The sequence below is a fragment of the Homo sapiens genome, chromosome 8 (assembly GCF_000001405.40).
Source record: "Homo sapiens chromosome 8, GRCh38.p14 Primary Assembly".
NCBI classification, from domain to species: Eukaryota; Metazoa; Chordata; class Mammalia; order Primates; family Hominidae; genus Homo; species Homo sapiens.
In genome coordinates this window covers 22,970,619-22,991,915 of record NC_000008.11, presented here as the reverse complement: position 1 = coordinate 22,991,915, position 21,297 = coordinate 22,970,619, and the positions used below count along the sequence as shown (strand labels likewise).

At 47.9% G+C, this 21,297-nt stretch overlaps 1 protein-coding gene, 1 long non-coding RNA gene and 1 pseudogene across 7 annotated transcripts in view, besides 5 other annotated features; 1 reads left to right on the top strand and 2 right to left on the bottom strand.

The window, feature by feature from the left end:
* Positions 1-21,297, bottom strand: part of RHOBTB2 (Rho related BTB domain containing 2) — a 69,387-nt gene that overhangs the window by 28,284 nt on the left and 19,806 nt on the right. For 4 of the 6 annotated variants that reach the window (XM_047421610.1, XM_047421607.1, XM_047421608.1 and 1 more), the window contains exon 1: positions 4,353-4,665. The gene's annotated coding sequence lies outside the window, so the exon portion shown is untranslated. Of the gene's footprint in view, positions 1-4,352; positions 4,666-21,297 lie in introns of those variants that run through there. The other 2 variants (XM_047421609.1, XM_047421611.1) reach the window with 1 other exon arrangement.
* RHOBTB2-AS1 (RHOBTB2 antisense RNA 1) overlaps positions 1-21,297 on the top strand; it is a 46,187-nt gene that overhangs the window by 7,890 nt on the left and 17,000 nt on the right. The gene's annotated exons all lie outside the window — the stretch shown is intronic.
* Positions 3,468-4,224: an enhancer, noted in NCBI's record as "H3K27ac-H3K4me1 hESC enhancer chr8:22845205-22845961 (GRCh37/hg19 assembly coordinates)". NCBI's record gives its function as "activates a minimal SCP1, AML or CMV promoter by ChIP-STARR-seq in naive H9 embryonic stem cells {active_cell/tissue: H9 hESC(naive)}" and the evidence as "EXISTENCE:reporter gene assay evidence [ECO:0000049][PMID:30033119]".
* Positions 8,858-9,077: an enhancer, noted in NCBI's record as "active region_27100". NCBI's record gives its function as "activates an Ori minimal core promoter by ATAC-STARR-seq in GM12878 lymphoblastoid cells {active_cell/tissue: GM12878}" and the evidence as "EXISTENCE:reporter gene assay evidence [ECO:0000049][PMID:35858748]".
* On the bottom strand, positions 13,789-14,039 carry RN7SL303P (RNA, 7SL, cytoplasmic 303, pseudogene; annotated as a pseudogene).
* Positions 16,079-20,713: an enhancer, noted in NCBI's record as "VISTA enhancer hs1927". NCBI's record gives its function as "enhancer in: heart[5/6]" and the evidence as "EXISTENCE:transgenic organism evidence [ECO:0001131][PMID:17130149]".
* Positions 17,238-17,417: an enhancer, noted in NCBI's record as "active region_27099". NCBI's record gives its function as "activates an Ori minimal core promoter by ATAC-STARR-seq in GM12878 lymphoblastoid cells {active_cell/tissue: GM12878}" and the evidence as "EXISTENCE:reporter gene assay evidence [ECO:0000049][PMID:35858748]".
* Positions 17,838-18,007: an enhancer, noted in NCBI's record as "active region_27098". NCBI's record gives its function as "activates an Ori minimal core promoter by ATAC-STARR-seq in GM12878 lymphoblastoid cells {active_cell/tissue: GM12878}" and the evidence as "EXISTENCE:reporter gene assay evidence [ECO:0000049][PMID:35858748]".

The window sequence follows — 21,297 nt, the reverse complement described above, 5'->3', positions numbered from 1 at the left end:
GCTAATCCTGAACTTTGACCCTTCCCTTAGGCATTGCTGGATGTCAGTAACTAAGCATGAATTTAGGGTCGTAGCTGCTTTTGACCCAGGTTGGAGGATTGCCAGGGGCCACCTGGGAAGGGCTGTGGTTCTCACCTGTGCTCTGAGCTCCTCTTGCAGAGTTCCAGGCTGGACCCTGCCCAGCCATCCCCCTTACCCTCTGCCTTCTTGGTACACAGACCCCCAAATGACAATGCAAGTCAGAGAATGGTGTAAAAGCCGTGGAGTGGAGTCAGGAGCTGAGTTCCTGTCCCCATGGGTTCTTCAAGAAAACAGGTCATTGGCCTGGATGATACCTGAGGGGTCTCTGGCCCTGACTTTTTCTAGTTGAAAGAAGAGAATGCCCTCAACTGTCCAGGGCTCTGTGTTTTCCACCAGACTCATTCATCCATCAAAGACCCTCCAGCCCATCTTCACAGACCCCTCTTTTCTCCTTCTTTCCTCCTCACTTCTCCTCCTCCCTTTTGTTTATCTGTCCTATCCTTTCCTCACTTCCTGAGCAGAGATTTCTGTAAAAATAAATGCACATGGCCCTGGCTTGTACAGCTCACAGATTAGCAGGCTGGGACGGCCAGGACCCCAGGGACCCTGGTGGGAAGTATACAAGGCTGGATGGGCCCTGGATGGACGAGGGCAGGGAAAGCCGGCCAGAAGTTTCCTGAGGTGCTGACAGTGATGAGAAGCCCACAGGGCAGCTGCATTGCTTTGGCCTTCTCCGGACCCACAGCCCTCTCTCAGGCTCCCATCAGCCCAAGTTAGCAGCTACCTCTGAGCTCACCCACGGGAATCCCACCCCCTCCCAGAGTGACAAATTTTAAGCTAAGAAGAGGGAAAGGACTTGGGTGGAGAAAACCAAGTGTCCAGTCTGACTTGTCACAGCCAAAGCACTGCGCTGCAGGACATGGCTATTCCCCCCGACACAGCCTCTGACCCCTCCACAAGGCATGAATTGAGGTCGGGGGAGGCAGGCAAGCAGGCCAGACCATAGGCAGCTGATGCAGGGACTGGAGAGGCAAGAAGCCGATGCTGAGCTAGAAGCCTTCTGTGGAACAGGCTGGACCCCAGATGGCCTGGGATGCGGGGGCCTGGGTTGAGCGGCGGGGGCCACAGGCTGCTGCTGTACTGCCCATTGGACACACGGTTCAGGGTGCCTCAAAAGCCACTAAACACACGCCTCAACCTTCTGGTTGTCTGTGGCTTACCACTTGCCTGGAAACATTCACTCTAGGTCACATGATCTTCCTCCCAACCCACCCTCTTCCTCCTCCTTCTGGGAGGTGCCAACAGAGAGCCCCCTGGGAGCCTGGGCTGCTGGTGGAAGCCTGGCTGGAGGGGAGAGTCTCCCTAGAGTGGACTGACGCGCTGCCACCTCTGCAAAGCCTCACAGCGGCCGCCCCTTCACAGATGCAGAACTGAGGCCCAGAGAGCCGGGGACTAGGAGGTATCAAGTCCAAGGTCCAGCCAAGATGTCCTGCCTGCAGGCTGCCTCCCAGCTGCAGGCCTGCAAGGTGGGGTGCTGGGGGTGTGGAGGGCGAAGGTGGCACGGGTGCACCAGCAGCCCTTCTGGGCCAAAATACACCTGACCTGCCTGTACAGCACCCCAAGTCCCCTTGCTTAACCTGGGTCCCCCTTTTCTCTGAAAAATATGAGACTTGTTTGGTCCTTCCTTCGTTTATCCTTTCTTTTTTTCATTTATCAAATGCATGTTAAGCTCTCGCTAGTGCCACACCCTGTGCAAGAGATGGTGAGGATGATAAAATGATGATATGCTATCATGTCATCAAGGAGCTTAAGTCTAATAATACTAATACTAATAATAACTTACTGAATGTTTATTACATGCCCGGGATTGTGCTGCATGTACTACCTCATTTAAATTTCAAAACAATCCTATGAGATGGAGGAACTATTCTTATCCGCATTTGGCAGAGAAGGAAACTGGAGCTCTGAGAGGGGATGTGACTTGCCAGGGCTGCAAAGCAGGCAGGCAGGATGAGGGTTCTCATCAGGCGTCTGGCTCAGAGCCTCTTGGGGAGACAGACGCACAGCACAGCCCTGAGGCCTCTTGCCCTAGCACGTTATGCTTAATGTATGTCAAAATCACCCTCTTTATCTTACAGATGAGCAAACTGAGGCCTACGCAAAGTCACGGCTAGTTTGCAGTTGTGTCAGACCCCAGCGCTGTGGTTCTGATGCCAGCTTTTACCTCTGGCCTTCAGTTTCCTCTTGCTTGCCTGAACCTAGGCAGTTTCCTTAGATGATCCCCAAGTTCTGAAATTCTGATTGTATGATGTTAGCCTAAGACATGTTAGGGAGACAGAACAGAGAGGCAGGAATGGCTCAGCTGAAACTAGACCTGGAGCCCTGCCACATCCACAAGCACCCCGGGGAACAATCCTTGCCCAGTAGGGAGTTAAGAATGTTGAAATGCGGCCAGATGCATGGCTTATGCCTGTAATCCCAACACTTGGGAGACCAAGGCTGGTGGATTGCTTGAGGCCAGGAACTCAAGACCAGCCTGGCCAACATGATGAAACCCTGTCTCTACTAAAAACACAAAAATTACCCAGGCGTGGTGGCATGCACCTGTAATCCCAGCTACTTGGGAGGCTGAGGCAGGAGAATTGCTTGAACCCAGGAGGCAGAGGTTGTAGTGAGCCAAGATAGTGCCACTGCACTCCAGCCTGGGCGACACAGAGAGACTCAGTCTCAAAAAAAAGAAAGTGGAAATGTTTTCTTGCTTCAAGGCACGTGACTTTTAACTCAATTGAAGGAAAGTATGCGTGTATTGATAGAGATGGCCATCAGAGGAACTGACAGGTCTTAGCAGTTACAGATGAGTTTCCTCTAGAGGTCAGGGAAGAGGGAGAAGATACAAAGTTCTTTAACTTACAGTCTGAGGCAAAGGTGAACTTAACAGGGCCAGCAAGATCCTTACATGGTGAGGTAAGAGGGCCCAAATCAGCCAAGCTGCCACTTCTGCAGAGCCCGTGCCCTTCTCCACCTGTGTCGGTGGAGGCTATCAGCCTCAGCCCCTTGTCTGAGTTATCATAGCCTCGCTAGCATCTGTCTCAGCCCCAACCCTTCCAAAAGCCAGGGTGACCCATTCAGCTACTCCTTTGCGAGGAAGTGACAGCAGCCTGGCTGGGTTGTGGGTGGGGGAGTGGTTGGGGGTCTCTGTTGCCCTGGAAGGAATTCCTACAGTAAGCCTGAGAGCTCCTGGCCAAGTGTGGCTACAGAAAGGAACAAAATTTGGGGGGCTGAGGGCAAGAGAGGGAGAGGATTAGGGATGCTGCTCAGTTTCTCTTGATAAATGGATCCTGCTGCCTGAAGGATGGGGAGCTCCCAGAGTTGGGTGGAGCCATGAATGGGCCACCCAGGACGTGGGAGTGAGTAGTAAGAAAAGGGGGAAGGAGGTCAGGTGCGGTGGCTCACGCCTGTAATCCCAACACTTTGGGAGGCCGAGGTGGGCGGGTCACTTGAGGTCAGGAGTTCGAAACCAGTGTGGCCAATATGCTGAAACCCTGTCTCTATTAAAAAAACAAAAAAATTAGCCAGGCATGGTGGCAGGCCCCTGTAATCCCAGCTACATGGGAGGCTAAGGCAGGAGAATCACTTGAATTCGGGAGGCGGAGTTTGCAGTGGGCCGAGATTGCGCCATTGCACTCCAACCTGGGTGACAGAGTGAGACTCCATCTCAAAAAAAAAAAAAAAAAAAAAAAAGGGGAAGGAGCAGGACAACAGAGATGCTGGAGAGCAGCCTTCAGTTGGGGAGGGGCAGGAGATAGAGTGGGCATGAGGGCCTAGGCGGCCCTTTATCACAAGCTGTTCCTGTGTTCCCCTTGGCCAGTGACCCCTCTGGATGGATAGGATTCAGTGGGTTGTGGGGGGTGGGGTGCAGTGTCATCTACTTGATCTTGGGGGCCTTCCGTTCCGTCCTGGCCAGGGTCACAAGGAGAGAGTGGCATCCAGGCCTGCCGCTGGCACATGGCGACTGGTGACACTCCCCCTGGACACCCTCATGACGAGTGGAAGCCCTCCACCTCCTGCCCCAGATCTGGCTGCCACAGGTTGCTGCTGGGCCACAGTCCAGGGGCCACCGCACCTTGATGGGGAAGATTCCTGATTGCTGATTGCCCCCACCCCTCGTGCTCCCTTCACACATCCCTCCTTTGGAAGAAATCTGATTCTGAGAACTGGAAATTGTGCAGTGCTGTGAGTGACCAGGTGAAGATAGGTTAGAGAAGCCAGGGCTTGGAGATCCCTCTCTTTTCCCTGGGCACAGAGCAAGGGCCCAAGGATTGTAGACTTACCTGCCACCTCGCCTCTGGGGCTCTGCTGGCCTGTCACTATTCCCTGTCCTGAAGTAGTGTTCTCGACCAGGTCTGCAGGAAGAAACAACACAAGGGTTTTAAGGGCTGGGATCCAAAGTCCAGCTTATGGGAAGGCAGGTGAAGGACATGATTCCTGTGACCAGGGGGCCGGCCTGCTGGTCAGTTCCCTCCTCCTCCAGGGCTGTGCAAAGCCCAGAGATAAACCCTGGGCCAGAGGCTTTGTTCCCCGTCCAGGGCTGTGCAGAGCACAGAGATAAACCACCTAGACCGGAGGCCCTGTTCCCCATCTTTGGCCAGGTGAGCATTCTTGATGCCTGGCCCAGCCCCTGGCCCTCAGGGCACTATTTTGGTCCACATCCTGCTCTTATTGTCCTGGCCTGTTCTTCTCAGCCCCTGGTGACTCACACTGCTTTGGAATTTCACTCACTGGCCTTTCTGACGCACATCTTGAGAGCCTGGCCTACAGCCAGGGAACAAGTTATGGCTTCAACCCCACCAGTAATTAATTCTGGCTACCTGAGCTAGAGGCCATGGAAGGTGGGGAGAGGGAAGGCCACGAAGAAGCAAGGTAGGGGTGGTTGCTGGTTGATGGGAGGAGGCTTTGCTCCTACTTCTGCTCACCTGCACACAGGTAGAAAACAAACAGCAGAAAAGCTATCGGCTCACAGTGGCCGGACATCCGGGGCTGGCCAGCCGGGAGACATGTGAAGCAGGACTGATCTAGTGTAAAATCTAGACTGGCCATTATGCTTCTTGGAGTGGATTTCTGGACCTTAGTTTACCTTTTTGTGAGTCCTATAGGTTTGATAGCTCCTGATTTGGGATGCTAAGGACCTTTATACTGAGGTGATCATGCCTCCATGTCACTCCAAATTACTTGAGCTCTGTTTTCTCTCCATTTTCAATATGTTTTGACGGGTTGGCCCTGGATAGAATTCTGGAGAAGGGAAGAGAGAAAGAAAATTGCCATAACAATGCACTGGGGGCCAGGCGTGGTGGCTCATGCCTGTAATCCCAGCACTTTGGGAGGCTGAAGTGGGTGGATACTTTGAGTCCAGTAGTTCAAGACCAGCCTGGGCAACACAGCAAAACCCCGTCTCTACAAAAAATTAGCCAGGCATGGTAGCCCATGACTGTAGTCCCAGTTATCCAGGAGGCTGAGGTGGGAGAATCATCTGAGCGCAGGAAGTTGAGGCTGCAGCTGCAGTGAGGCACTGCACACCTGGGCGAAAAGAGTGAGACCCTGTCTCCCAGAAAAAAAAAAAAAAAAAAAAAAAGCAATGCACTGGGCTGGGAATCGAAGACCTGGATTCATTTCCAGCAACCCATTCCCTGGCAACCCCTTACCAAGTGCCTCATCAGTTAAATACGAAAGAGAGAGAGAGAGAGAGAGAGAGAGAGAAGTCCACCGTCCTTGCAGTGTTCCCTCCCATGGGTCTCTGATGTTCGCTGCAGTCACTGGCAGAGGCCCCCTGGTTCTCCACTCCTCTGGAAGGCAACTACTTTTCCCATCTCTTACTTAACTGTCCTTGACCTGCTTCCCCCTTCCAGCTTCCCAGGCTTGAGGGGTCCCAGCCTTGCTCCTGCGCCTGCTAGCACCTCTGTTGAGAAGGGCTTTGTGCCGCCTGCTGGGCTGACTCCTGTGGGTGCACTGGTGGGTAGGCCAGGGGAGAGCCTGAGTGGGTTCTAGAAACAATGCCCTTACATGTAACTCCAGCCCGAAGAGTGACTCCAGGCAGAGGAACGGCTGGCCAGGTCAGGGGCATTGGAGTGCCTGTGAAGACACACCCTGAGGTCTGGTCAATCCTCTGCCTTCTCATCAGGCAGGTCTGGCTGGGAATGTTCTATAGGGAATGCCGGAAAAGCATGCTTCCAGCCCTCCATCGCACCTTCCTCCCTGTTGGGAAAAGGGCTTGTGGGGCGCCTGCATAAACTGGCCATAAAAATATGGGACAATAAGTTGTGGAAAGCCACAAGAGGCCTCTGAGGAGGAAAGCCTCCTAATTGCCATCATGTTCCCATGCTCAGAGCGAGACCTGCTCTCTTATCTATAAACACTGTGTTCAAGGAGAAAGACACTCCTTTGAAGCATTGGAATGTGGACAGACGTGCAGCCTCCTAGTTAAGCACACTCCCACTAGCTCCTCTCCGATAAGTTAAAGATACGCTGTTTGAGCACAAAGGAGATTCATTTAAACCGCTATTGCTATAGATTACGCCTGTGACGCAGTGCCTCCCTTTCACTGTTTCACCCTGAACATCTGCTTCTTAGATCGAAGTGATTGTACTCAATAAATAGTGTGGAACCAGAACTCTGGGCCTTTTGCAGCCTCCATTTTGCAACTGGCCCCCTGGCTCCCACCTTTATGAACTCTTAACCTGTCTCTTCTCATTCCTTTGTCACCACCAGACTTTGGGTACCCTATGGGTGGTGTTGAGACTGGTCCCCAACACTCCCTCTTAGCCACACCCATGGGAACCACGATCATTTGGGAAGATCAAAGGACTAAGGGGTGGGGGTAGGAAAATGAGTCTGGGCCTCTAATTCTATACCAATGACTATAACAGATTTTTTTTTTTTCCTAAACTGAAAACACTCTTTTTTTTTCTTTTTCTTTTTTGAGATGGAATCTTACTCTGTTGCCCAGGTTGGAGTGCAGTGAGTGCAATGGCTCACTGCAATCTCTGCCTCCCAGGTTCAAGTGATTCTCCTGCCTCAGCCTCCTGAGTAGCTGGGATTACAGGCATGCACCATGATGCCCGGCTAATTTTTGTATTTTTAGTAGAGACAGGGTTTCGCCATGTTGGCCAGGCTGGTCTCGAACTCCTGACCTCAGGTGATCTGCCCACCTTGGTCTCACCAAAGTACTGTGCTGGGATTCCAGGCATGAGCCACCACGGTCGGCCAGAAACACCTTTAAAAAGACAATACTACATCATGATCAGGTGGGTTTAAGAGTCTGGAATCCCAAGTCCAGCTGTCTGGGTTTAAATTGAAGATGTTCCACTTGCACGTTGTGAATATGCCTCATGTCTCCTTCTGCTATAGTCACCAACATATTTAAATGATGTAATATATGGTGCGTAAGAATATTACACATATCTAAGTCATAAAACACAACAAGGACCCAATCAACCATGAAACCTTGATGTATTACACAATCAATACACTGCCTGGTTGAAGCTGCACCTGTGTGGTGACTTCCAATTTCTACCTCCGACCTCTCCAACAGAGCCAGCCCCTGTTCTGTATTTTGCGCTTGTCATTTATTTGATGGTGATATTGTCTTTGAAGATATTTTGTACCATATTGTATGGGCATCCCAAAATTATATACTGTTTAGGTTGGCTTGCTTTTAAGTTTTAAGAAACTGTATTATACAACATGTACAACAGCTTTTTGTACTGTTTTTTTTTGCACTCAGCCTTGCATTACTAAAAGCTGGTCACATTGATATGAATAGCTGTGGTGGCTTCATTCCCACTGCAGTGTAAGATTCTGTGGCACTGGCTGGGCGCAGTGGCTCACGCCTGTAATCCCAGCACTTTGGGAGGTTGAGGCAGGTGGATCACAAGGTCAAGAGATCGAGACCATCTTGGCCAACATGGTGAAACCCCGTCTCTACTAAAAAATACAAAAATTAGCTGGGCGTGGTGGCGCACACCTGTAGTCCCAGCTACTCGGGAGGCTGAGGCAGGAGGATTGCTTGAACCTGAGAGGCAGAGGTTGCAATGAGCCAAGATGGCGCCACTGCACTCCAGCCTGGGTGACAGAGCAAAACTCTGTCTCAAAAAAAAAAACACGTTACACTGCTGAATATTTAACAGAACCATCCAAAGTATGTGAAACCAGTTATTTAAGTGATAAAAAAGTCATACCTCTATTTCTTTTGCACATCCAAAACCTTTTTCCCTCAAGGTAGAAAAGTAAAACCTAGGTTATGATAACCATCACCAAAACTAAGTAACTCTCTATATTTTTTTACTCATGCTTTACTCTGGCTGAACTGTCAACCTCAGAGTTTCGTTTCTTTTGTTTCTTTTTTTTTTTTTTCTTGAGAGGTGGGTCTCACTTTGTTGCCCAGCCATACCTCAAACTCCTGGCCTCAAGTGATCCTCCTGCCTCAGCTTCCCAAAGTGCTAATATTACAGGCATGTGCCTGGCCTTGCTCCTTCTTCTTCTTCTTTTTTGTTTTTTTTTTTTTTAACTAAATGGTTTGAACTGTCTTTCACTGGATCAAGGTAAAAGTGTCACACATCAGTGCAGATTTATCTGCATGTTGTCCATATTCCCCCTTTACACATGGCAAGCAGAGCTAATCCACCGTAGTTCCCAGAATTTCTAACCCAACATCAGAGGCACCTCCCCATCCTCAAGACAGTGCCTGTGTCAGTAATTGGGGTGTACACAGAAGTGAAAGTCTAACTTGCTGGACAGTTCTATGTTGTTATGTGCTATGATCTGAATGTGTCCTCCCCAAATTCATATATTGAAACATAATCTGGAATGTGGTAGTATTAAGAGGTGGGGCTTTGGGCAGGTCATCGGGTCATGAGGGCTTCACCGTCAGGAATGGGATTAGTGCCCTTATAAAAGAGGCAGAGGCCTGAGGAAGCTTGTTCGGCCCTTCTGCCCTGAGAGGAAGCAGCCAGAAGGCGCTGTCTGTGAGAAACCAGCCCTCACCCGACACTGAGTCAGCTGGCACCTTGATCTCAGACTGTCCAGCCTTTGGAACTGTGAGCAATAAATTTCTGTTTATAAGTCACCCAGTTTAAGGTACTTTATTATAGCAGCCTGAATGGAATAAGATAGTATGTGAGAAAGATCCATGGGGTTTTCTTCATTTGTTTGTTTGTTTTTGTGACGTTGTCTCGCTCTGTCTCTCAGGCTGGAGTGCAGTGGCGCAATCACAGCTCATTGCAGCCTCAACCTCATGGGCTCAAGTGATCCTCTTGCCAATGGTGTCATCTCAGCTCACTGCAACATCTGCCTCCTGGGTTCAAGTGATTCTCCTGCCTCAACCTCCTGAGTAGCTGGGGTTACAGGCACCCACCATTATACTCAGCTAATTTTTGCATTTTTAGTAGAGACAGGGTTTCTCCATGTTGGCCAGGCTGGTCACGAACTCCTGACCTCAAGTGATCCACCGACCTCGGCCTCCCCAAAGTGCTGGGATTACAGGCATGAGCCATCGAGCCTGGCCAAGAAAGATTTGAGAATGAGGAGTGGCAAGAAGACTATTGGAAGGAGATGGTAGAGCAGTGTGTCCCGACAGCAGGTGGGAAGGCCAGGAGACAGGGAGAACGGGTTTAAAACACACTGTCATCTTGCCCAGGCCCTTTCTTGGCTACTTGATGGCATAGGGATGGAGGCACTGAACCAGTGGCCTCTGAGTCTTCCTGCACTTGGGTTAGTTGCAATGGTGGCAGGACAGAGCCAGAGGTCACTGGAGCAAGCAGGTGGCTGCTCTCTTCTAGTCTACTGCAGAAATGCCTGGGCAGGTCCCAGGACTCAGCCTCTCTGGTAACGGTCACCACCATTTATACATTGAGGGCCTTAAGATCCTGGTAGGGGCGCCTGGTATCGGGGGGCAGGTGGGCAAAGTGGCCAGTTGCACCTGAGTGTAAAGTGGCGGATATGGAACCGCCCAGGCTGCAGCAGCAAGGCGCCACTGCAGCTGGTGCTCAGCTGACTGGGCTCAGGGCCAGGCTGAGACCCTAAACTCGTCTGGAAAAGCTGGCACTTTGCTGTAAGAGTATGCCAGCCAGGAGTGGGCCTATTGCTCATTCTGCACACCAAGAAAACACACTGAGTTGCTTCAGGGGCAGGCAGTGGGGGGACAGGGCAGCTGACTGCACCCACCTCTGTCCCTTTCAGCTTCACCCCTACCCCACCTCCCACCTCTGCCCTCTTTCAACCCCCACAGAAGAAGCCTGGACTACCCACAGCTGCAAATTCCTGAATTCCCTAATTCGAGGCAAGGACCTGGTGTCTTATTCAAATGAATCTGTTTGGCAAAAGACCCAGCTCTCAAAACCAGCCTACTTACAACAGTCTAGAGGGGCCTGCCCTGGCGAGAGAATGTCTCAGGGCTCCACTGAAGTACAGAAGAGCAGTAGCCAGGGTGAGGGGGTCCTACACCAGGAATGAGCTGCGGGTAGCTCCCCCAGACTCATCCAAGCTCTCTTTCTTTTGAATATCGATAAAATTCAGCCTAGGTTTAAAAATGATTGTCACCACAACCAGAGATAAGGAAACATTTCACTTTTACTGGGTGGTTGAATCAACTCCAGCCAGTAAGCATTTCTTGAATGAGTTCTGGCAGGTGTGCCAGGCACTGACAACTTGCTTTACAACAGGAAATGAGATCGTAAGAAAAGAATATGTAATCTGACAAGCAGACCTTTTATATGTACTGAAATAGAATTCTGGAAAATACTTGTATAAATCTCAGAGACAAATCAGTTGGTGGTTTAAAATTGGAAAAGTTGTGAACAAATTCTTTTGCTTTAATCTCTACAAACAGATAACGTATCATACTTGGAAGAAGAAACATCACCAAGCAATTTGGTGTTTTCTTTTGATTGGCTGTGGCTGAAAGAGAAAGTTAAATATAGGAGATGAGAGCAAATTTAAAAATATTGTTTTTGGGTCACGGCTATGGGGTGAGGTGCACTTAATGTAATCAAGTTGAAACACGAAGTTGTAATTTGGGATTTCTAAAGTATTTGGGACATCACACAAAGTTGTTAGAAGAAAAGATTCCTTGGAATTTAGAGCTCTGATTTTAAATATCCACAGAGTTTGTTTTTTAAAAAAACTTGGTGTTGGACATTAGTTCAGAATTTCACTTTGAAGACAGCTAGCATAACAATCAAAATTGCCCCGATTAAATGAACTGGCCCTTCTGTTTTTCAAAATTACTAAGGAATTTGGTGATTAAATGAATTCTTATTTCTCTTCACACTGGTAAGGTAAATACACAAGTTTTTCACTGTTTATCTTCATAAATATTCTAATGTAACAATTGAATACGTAAAATCTGAAGGATTTAAATTTACTAGTAAATGATTTCTAGCAAGTAAAAATAGGCAATGAACATGCAGTTATAATTCATGAAAAAGGAAATAAATATAGAAGCAACCATTTAAAAAGGTTTTGCCTTACTTAGTAATTTTTAAAGTGAAAATTAGATTAATTTTTAACCTATCAAATTGGTGAGGATTTTAAAGAGTGATAATACTCCTTCTGCTTAGTAGGAGTGTAAATTAGCAAAATATATCTGGAAACTAATCAGATGATATATGCTACTTCTTTTATTGACTCCCACGTGCACATAAATAAACCTTTTTTTCTCCTATTAATCTGCTGTTTGTCAGTTCAATTTACAGCCCTCAAATAATGAACCTAACAGGATAGAGGAAAACTTTTCTTTTTTGCTTCTCTACATATATATTAAGAGGCTTAAAAGAATTCTTATACCTGGCTGGGCACAGTGGCTCACACCTGTAATCCCAGCACTTTGGGAGGCCAAGGAGGGTGGATCACGAGGTCAATAGATCGAGACTATCCTGGCCAACGTGGTGAAACCCCGTCTCTACTAAAAAAATATAAAAATTAGCTGAGCGTGATGGCACGCGCCTATAGTCCCAGCTACTCAGGAGGCTGAGGCAGGAGAATTGCTTGAACCCAGGAGGCAGAGGTTGCAGTGAGCTGCGATCGCTCCACTGCACTCCAGCCTGGTGACAGAGTGAGACTCTGTCACAGAGTCTCACTCTGTCCCAAAAAAAAAAAAAAAAGAAAGAAAAGAAAAGAAAAGAAAAAGAAAAAAGAAAAAAGAAAAAAAAAGAATTCCCATAATTTGGCTCAAGAAAACTCTACTAACAAAATCTAAGGAAATAATCACAAGTCAGGAAAAGGTTTATGTATAGGACGTCATAAACACTAGTGATAGTGGGGAAAAAATGAAGAAAAAAATAAACTGTCCTCCAAGAGGGGATGTCTTCAATAAATAATGGCGTATCCATAAGATAGAATCTGTGTGGTACATGCGTGCACACACACACATCCACAGTACATGATTGTACACAAAACCAAAAAAAATTCATACACAAAGGATAGAAAGAACTATTACAAAATATAAAAAGTAGTTATCTCCGGATGGTAAAATTATTGTTCTTAGAATTTTCTTTTCTGTATGTATTTTTATATTTTCCAGATTTTTACAATATGTATGTAATACTTTTAGATTGGAGTGTTTGAGAGAAGCACAGATTTATTTATTTACCAAAATAATAAACAAATTAATTATTTTGAAAGGAAGGGAGGAAGAAAGAAAAATGTTTGGAAAGATCTTTTATTTCCCTTGTAAAATGTCATTAAAGCAACAAATATGGGTGGATTTTGTTTTTCTTAGGGTAAGAACAGTATTTTAATTATTTTATTGCATCCCAAAGGTCAGTGATAAAAGAAAATGTAATTTAACCAAGTCAAAACACAAAGTTGCAACTTGGTATGTTAAATAACTTGGTTCATAAAAGATTCTAATAAAGATGGGAATATATGTATACATCATGGCCATATATAAGATAAAGGAAGACAGGCAGGGAACTACTTTCTGTAAATAACTTTTAAACTTACTTTCAAAGATAAGAAAACATAACAGGAAGTTAAGTTAAAAAAAACACATGATTTCAACATCTGAATACCAACTATTTTTAGTTATTCTATTTGCATGTCATATACTGTTATATGTTTTTTGCTTTTTTATCAGATATTTACTCGTAAATGATTTCTAGCAAGTAAATACAGTCAATGAACATGCAGTTATAATTTATTAGAAAGGAAATAAATACAGAAACATTTTTTCCTTTCTTTCTTCTAGCCTCCTGTTACGTGGAATACATTCTGTTTTCTAACTTCTTATTGTAAATGTTTGCAAACATAAAAAAAACTAAAAAAAAAAAAAGTACAATAAATACTGATATTCTCCTTACCTAAACTTAACAATTGTTAAGTTTTGGGGTTTTTTTTGTTTTTTTGTTTTTTTTTTTTTTGAGACAGATCTCGCTCTGTCGCCCAGGCTGGAGTGCAGTGGCACCATCTCGGCTCACTGCAAGCTCCACCTCCCGGGCTCACGCCATTCTCCTGCCTCAGCCTCCTGAGTAGCTGGGACTACAGGCACCCGCCAACACGCCTGGCTAATTTTTTGTATTTTTAGTAGAGACAGGGTTTCACCGTATTTTGGGGTATTTTTTAAATAAACTGAACAATTGTTAAATTTTGGGGTATTTTTTGGGCCATAACTTTTCAAAATAACTTGTAGACATCATGTCACTTTACTCCTAAATACCGATTTTTTATTTTAACACAATTATTTTAAAAGATTTAAAAAGAAGATATTTTTCTTTTTTTAGAGATGGGGTCTCACTATGTTGCCCAGGCTGGAGTGTGGTGGCTAGTCACAGGCGCAATTCCACTACTGATCAGCACGGGAGTTTTCCTTCCTTAGGTAACCTGGTGGTCCCTCATTCCCAGGATGTCACCATATTGATGTGGAGCTTAGTGCAGACATCTGGTCAGCATAGGACTCTTGGGCTCAAGCAATCCTCCCACTCCAGCCTCCCCAGTAGCTGGGACTACATGCCTGAGCCACCATGCCTGGCATTACTCCTAAATATTTTAACATGAATTCTCCTATATAACCACAAAACCACCATCACATTTAAGAAAATTAATAAAAATTCCCCAATATTATCTAGTACCCAGTTGATAATCATATATCCCAATATGTCCCCACACATTTTTATAGCTATTTTCTTATTCATACCTTTTTAACAGTTGCCTAATACTACTATCAATGGGTATACCATGATGGAATTAACCAGTTCTCCTACCACTTAAGGTGTTCTCAGTGATCAAGGAGCTTCTTTGCAAATTTGTTCTTTCAACAGCTTTTTTTTTTTTTTTTGAGAAAGGGTCGCATTCTGTCACCCAAGCTGGAGTGCAGTGATATGATCTCGGCTTACTGCAGCCTCCACCTCCCAGGCTTAAGCAATCCTCCCATCTCAGCCTCCTGAGTAGCTGGAACTACAGGCACACACCACCATGCCCAGCTAATGTTTTGTAGAGACGGGGTTTTGCCATGTTGCCCAGGCTGATCTTGACCTCCTGGGCTCAAGCAATCCACCTGCCTTACCCTCCCAAATTGATGAGAATACAGGCATGAGTCACTACACCTGGCCTTCGACAAATATCTATTGAGCATCCACTGTGTTCCAGGAAAGTGCTGGGTGCTGAGAAGTGTAGGGTGAAAGTCATTGCTCCTACCTTTGTGCAGCATGTAGTTAGTGGACAAGGAAGCTTTTGTTCTTCATTGAAGTATTACTAAATTAGCTGAAGGAGGAAACTGAGTTAAATAGTGGGAGCTGTTAATAAATTAATTAATTTTGTAGAGATGGTGTCTTGCTATGTTGGCCAGGCTGGTCTCGAACTCCTGGAGTCAAGCAACTCTTCCACCTCAGCCTCCCAAGTAGCTGGGATGGCAGGCATAAGCCACTGTACCTGCCTGGGAGCTTGCATCTTGATATGTATATTTTCATTAAAAAATTGTTCTAGGCCAGGCACAGTGGCTCACGCCTGTAATCCTAGCACTTTGGGAGGCCGAGGCCGGTGGATCATTTGAGATCAGGAGTTCGAGACCAGCCTGGCCAATATAGCAAAACCCGTGTCTACTTAAAAAAAAAAAACCTATCTGGGGATGGTGGCACATGCTTGTAATCACGGCTACTTGGGAGGCTGAGACACAAGAATCACTTGAACTAGGGAGGTGATGGTTTCAGTGAGCTGAGATGGCACCACTGCAGTCCAGCCTGGGTGACAGAATGAGACTGTATCAGAAAAAAAAAAGTTCTATGGATTATGCTATGTCAACAAAAACAGTGCTTCTGACATTTACCCCAACTAAAAATGGCGGTATTCCCAATATTGGGATCACTCTCTTTTATTTTTCTTCTTTGGCACTTTGTTGGGTAGAAAACAATACTGCCTTTTTATTCCTTGACGACTTAAGTGGATTTTTCTTCCTGAACCCCTCAAGTGCCTTGCTTGGCTCTGCTTCCAGGTTCTTTCCACAGCTCTTTTTGTCCCGTCTTCCCCACCTCCAAAACAGAAATATTTACTGTCCGGGAATCTCTCTTTGCAGTAGGATGTCCTGGGAGACAGCCTGTTTTCAAACTGTGATACCCACTGGCTGTCGTCAGCTCTCTGCCTGAGGTGGTCTCATAATTTCGGCTTAAATAAAGGACTTTACAGCTTTGACCCTTGCCCTTCTCCCCCAGGAGTCCCCAGTGGTCTTTATTTTTTATTTTATTTTATTATTTATTTATTTATTTTTTGAGACAGAGTCTCGCTCTGTCACCCAGGCTGGAGTGCAATGGCATGATCTTGGCTCACTGCAACTTCCACCTCCTGGGTTTAAGTGATTCTCCTGGCTCAGCCTCCTGAGTAGCTGGGATTACAGGTGTGTGTCACCACACTTGGCTAATTTTTATATTTTTAGTAGAGACGGTGTTTCACCATGTTGGTCAGGCTGGTCCCGAACTCCTGACCTCATGATCCGCCCGCATTGGCCTCCCAAAGTGCTGAGATTACAGGTGTGAGCCACCGCACCTGGCCCCCAGTGGTCTTTAGAGAGAGAGATCTAGGAAGAGACAGGAGGGAGGGAAGAGGAGGGAGGGAAGGGGCCACCCAGCTGGAAAAGCAGGTTTGAATTCAGGCCCCCTTGGACTGGTTCCCTCTTTCTTGCCTATCCCACCTTTTGCTCCAACAAGCCTGTTGCATTCTCCAGGTTTCACACACATCCTGTGTGAGGTGCGTTTTCTGATCTTACCTGGGGGCTGTGTACCTAGAAGTTTCTGCCCATCCGTCAGGTTTGACACCCTCTAGTCCAAGCCTAGTTCTAGCACTTTCTAGTGCTTTTTATCTCCTTTCGCTTCTGCATTTTAGTTCACATCCCCTGGCCTTCTCAGCCTCAGGCCTCCAGCACTTGGGCCACATGAAACACACCGCATGCACCAACTCCCAAGGGCCTCACCTCTCCACTTCCTGCTGTGCCTCTAGCCAGCTCTGGTGGGAGGGAGTCAAGGGACCCTTTTGGTATGTGTGACAAACTCCCACCAAAGCCTGTCCCACAGCCTGCAGTCTTTTCTGGCAGTTCCAAGGAAATGCAACTTCAGGATCTCCCCAGCTAGTGAGAGAAGACCCCGTTCCACCCCTTCTAAGGTAGAAACAGGGTGGGGCAGGTGAAGGGGCCCCACCAAGAGCAGCATCAGAGGGGAGAGGGCTGGTTTGGGTGGGAAGGAAGCATGCAGTTCCACTTTGAGCCCTTTACATGTGATGCGCCAGGGGGACAACTGTTTGGAGATGTGGGCTTGACTCTCTTGGGAGAGAGGAGGCGCCTCCCATGTGGGTTTTGGGGTCAGCAGTATTGGGGGAGATGTTTAGGCCCTGGAAAGAGATGTCTAGGCCCTGGAAAGAGATGTCCAGGGAGATGATAGAAAGAATCTCAAGGGACAAAACATTGATCCAGGAGATAACCCCAGATGAAGAGGGACAATTGGGGCGCTTAGTGGGTGAGGCATTTCCCTTGTCATTTTATGCGCGGGTCTTTAAAGTTCGTGTAGCAGGAACTCTGAGTAGTACCTGATTGTGCACAGTACCTGTTTGTGCACAGTACCTACCTGAGCACAGTACCTGGGCCATGCAGCTCCCAGCAGCCCTTTCTCTCCCCCTGCTGGTCATGTGATTTAATTTTTACCTCAGGAAAGGGAATTCCCAGTGGAGGGGCTTGATGGCCAATTAAACTCTCTACAAACTGCACTTCATAGACCCAGGATGCAACCTGGCCTGGCCTTATAGCTTCTAGGCCTTCAGGGAACCGAAATCTCTCCCTGACCAATGTGGCAGTGACTAAGGTCTAATCTTTTAGCTGGGCCTCAGGAGGAGGAAAATTAGAATTGTGAAATGGGGCAGAGGCCTGGCCTGCGCTGGAGTGAGTGCTGTGGGCCCCCAGCTTGTCTGGTTGTCTCACCCAAGACACTAAAAACGGCACAAAGAGCCGGCAGGCCACCCTGCACCCCGCACTTTGCCTCTGCCTTGTGACTGTGCTTAATATAGGTCAAATGAAAACAGCTCCCAAAATAGACCTCTGAGAAGCAGCTGCAGTTGTGAAATGCTCCACAGAAAGGGAAGAGGTGTGGGTGACGGGAGCCCAGTTCTCCTCAGGTGTTATGTAACCCAGGCTTGGAAATCGGGGCCAGATGTCTGCAGAGAACAAACCAGTCTCCCCTGCCCTTTCCTCCCGGCTTTCCTCCCTCCATACCCCCACCCTAGACCCGGGAATCAGCCCAACCATATATCAGCAAACTCGGAGGGAGGGAGCTGGGCCCGTTCTGGACAGCAAGGTCACCCCTCAGAGCATCCCTTGAGGAGCTGGTCGTGCATACCTAAGTGATCACATGGCTCCCAGCGGAGCTGGCTGGGAGCCCCGGAAGTGGTCAGGTGACTCCCTGGAAGGGCTGGTGCCTGGGGTGGGTCTCATCTGACTCAAATGGTGGGGCGTGGGAGGGGTGGTGAGGTTGATGGGCTGAGATGGCTGAGAAGATGCCGGTGGGGCAGGCTGCTGCTCTGGTCTGTTGAGGGATAGAAGAGGCCTCCAGGAAGGAGGGTACCTCTGTGCTACCCCCTCCTGCAGACTTTGCCTCTTCCCTCTGTCCCCTAAGCAGCCTCTGCCTCTGACATTTCCATCTTTGCCTTAGCAAGGAGGGAGATTTTCATTATATAATGAAAGAGAAGGGCCTCCCTCCCATCACCCATTTCTCCATTCATTCAGTGATCGTTTCATCAGTGAGGAAGTGCCAGGCCCGGGCTGGGCACTGCTGATACAGCTGGGAGTGAGACCCACTGCTTGCCCTCCAGGGTCTCTCGTGGTTTGACATGGGGGAGAGCAGACCAGGTGTGGTGGCTCACGCCTGTAATCTCAGTGCTTTGGGAGGCCAAGGTGGGAAGATTGCTTGAGGCCAGGAGTTCGAGACCAGCCTGGGAAACATAGCCCAGGAGACCCCATCTCTACACAAAATAAAAAAAATTAGTCCTGTATGGCAGCACACACCTGTGACCCCAGCTACTTGGGAGGCCGAGAGGGGAGGATTGCTTGAGCCCAGGAGGTTGAGGGTGCAATGAGCGATGATCGGGCCACTGCACTCCAGCTTGGGCAAGGGAGTGAGACCCTGTCTATAAATAAACAAACCAACAAACAAATGTAAGAAAGAAAAATAAGCAGGCGGTTAGAGTTCAGGGAAATAAAAGCCAGGAGAGGTGAGCACAGGGTGGGGTCAGAGCCCCTAGAGGGGCACTGTCTTGGGGGCAGGTGGAGGACCAACATGACTTTCCTGAACAGGAGACTTCTGAGAACAGGCAGCAAGGTTGAGAAGCACCAGCCAGGTCAGGGGAAGGGAGTGAAGGCTGGAGAAGTTCCCGGCAAGGGAGGCTATGCCTGTGCAAAGGCGCAGGGGCCTGGTGGAGAGCATGCCTTCCCGGGAAACTGCACCCATCGCAGGATGGCTGCACGGCAGATTCAGAAAGGCAGGAGGAGGGATGAAGCCGAGAAGGAAAAAGAAGGCCATATCTGGAAGGGCCTTGTGAGGAAGTGTGGACTTCATCCTGACAGAACAGGGGAACTGCTAGAGCAGGAGGTTCTCAAAGCATGGTCAGCAGCCAGGGGAGCAGGTCAGAAAAGCCAGTTGTCAGGCTCCTCTTCAGATCTACTGAGTCTGAAACGCTGGGAGTAGGGTCCAACCCTCCACATCTTCGCAGCCTGCTCCGAGCGCCTCTGATGCCTGTTAATGTTTGAGAACCACTGAGCAAAAGGCTTTTATACCAGGGAAGTGCAGAAGCAGCTCAGGAAGATCTCTCTGGTTGCAGGGCAGAAAGTGGTGTGGAAGTGGGTGAGACTGGAGGCATAGCAAGAAGGAGGGTGTGTGGTGGCACCTAACGTCCCCGGGAGGGCTGACAGTGGTGACAACAGACATGAAGCAGTATACCAGATTCAAGAAACCTTAGCAAGGCCATGCGCTGACTTTGGTGGGGTCTGGGCACTTTTGACTTTGTGGACCATTTCCTCCATTAAATGATATTTAAAATTACGTGTGATGACTGCATTGGTATAAAAATGAATATACTTTGGGCCAGGTTATGTTAATTTTATTCTTCTAATTTTAAAAGAAATGAAAACTTTTTCATGAGCCCCTACATGTGTCATGAACCCTAAGCGCCGTGCCTAGTGGAGGAGTTGGTTTGGAACATCCAGGCTCTACTCTTAACAGGAAGTGGCCTTTGACGGAATGCGAGGAAGAGGGAGAGAGGGCATCGTGACTGACGCCCACCATCTGGGCTGGGGTCCTGGGTGGAAGGTGGTCCATTGAAACTGAGAACACAGAGGAAGAGCAGATTTGCAGAAGGAGATGAGGCCAATTCCTTTATACAAGTTCAAGTGCAAGGGGCCTGAGACACATCCAAGTGGAAACATCCAGGAGGCAGCTGGATACCAGGATTTGGACTTAGATAGGGATGTGTAAATAATGGCCAGCAAGGGGGTAAATCAACTTAGATAGGGATGTGTAGATCATTCCCAGCAAGGGGATAGCTGAAGCAGGAGAAGAGTGGAGGTTATCCTGCAGAAAGTAAGAAGATGAATCCAGTGGGCAAAACCTGAGGGAAAGTCACATTCAAAGGATAGACTGGCCAGGGAGGTGGAAGGAAAACCAGAAAGGCCCAGATACACCGAAGGAGGTGAGCATTTCAAGGGAGAGTAGTCAGGTGTCAAATGCTGCACAGAAGTTCAGCAATGGGCAGTGCAGCATGTCCTTCAGATTGAGTTGCCAGTGAACAAGCTGGCCTTGTTCTTTCAGAACCAGTGGAGCTGTGGAAGTCGGTTTGTAGAAGTGGAGGCAGTGCGTGCAGGTTGCTCTTCCAAGGAGTCTGGCTGTGAAGGAAAGGAGAGAGATAGGGCCAGGTGTAGTGGCTCATCCCAGCACTTTGGGAGGTCGAGATGTAAGGATCACTTGAGCCCAGGAGTTCGAGACCAGCCTGGGCAACATAGCAAGACCTCACCTCTACTTAAAAAAAAAAAAATAGATGGGCGTAGTGACACATGCCGGTAGCTGCAGCTACTTGGGAGGCTGAGGTAGGAGAATCGCTTGAGCCCAGGAGTTCAAGGCTGCAGTGAGCCAAGATCATGCCACTGCACTGCAGCCTGGGTGACAGAATGAGATCTTGTCTCTTAAAAAAAAATACAGAAAAAGGAAAAAGGGAAAGAGAGAAGTAATATGGGCTGAGTGAGGGTGGGAAGGAGAGGGCTGAAGCACAGGAAGAAAACTCAGCTTAGACTCAAGGGGAAATGGCTTCTCCCTCATGTTGGGAGGAAGATGGAGGATTTCAGGTGGTTTTTGTCTCGTAACTTCTATTTTTCTCTATAAAGTAGAAAGGACCATGAAACACAGATAGAGAGGTTTATTGAGGGTGCAGAAGGTTTGTAATGATTACACTGGAGAATGGGAGAAGGCACTAGAAAATTACAAATCAAACCGTGCAACATTGAGGGGACAAACGGAGGTAAAGACTGTCACAGTTTAGCAGCAACCATCTGCGGAGTTGTGTGTGGAAAGAAGGAAATTAAACGAGAACATAGAGTATGAGACTGATGGGTTTTTAAAAAATAGTTTTTGTGGTCGGGCATAGTGGCTCATGCCTGTAATCTCAGCACTTTGGGAGACTGAGGGAGGATCGCTTGAGCCCAGGAGCTCAAGACCAGCCTGGGCAACAGGGTGAGATACTGTCTCCACAAAAAATAAAAAATAAATCAAA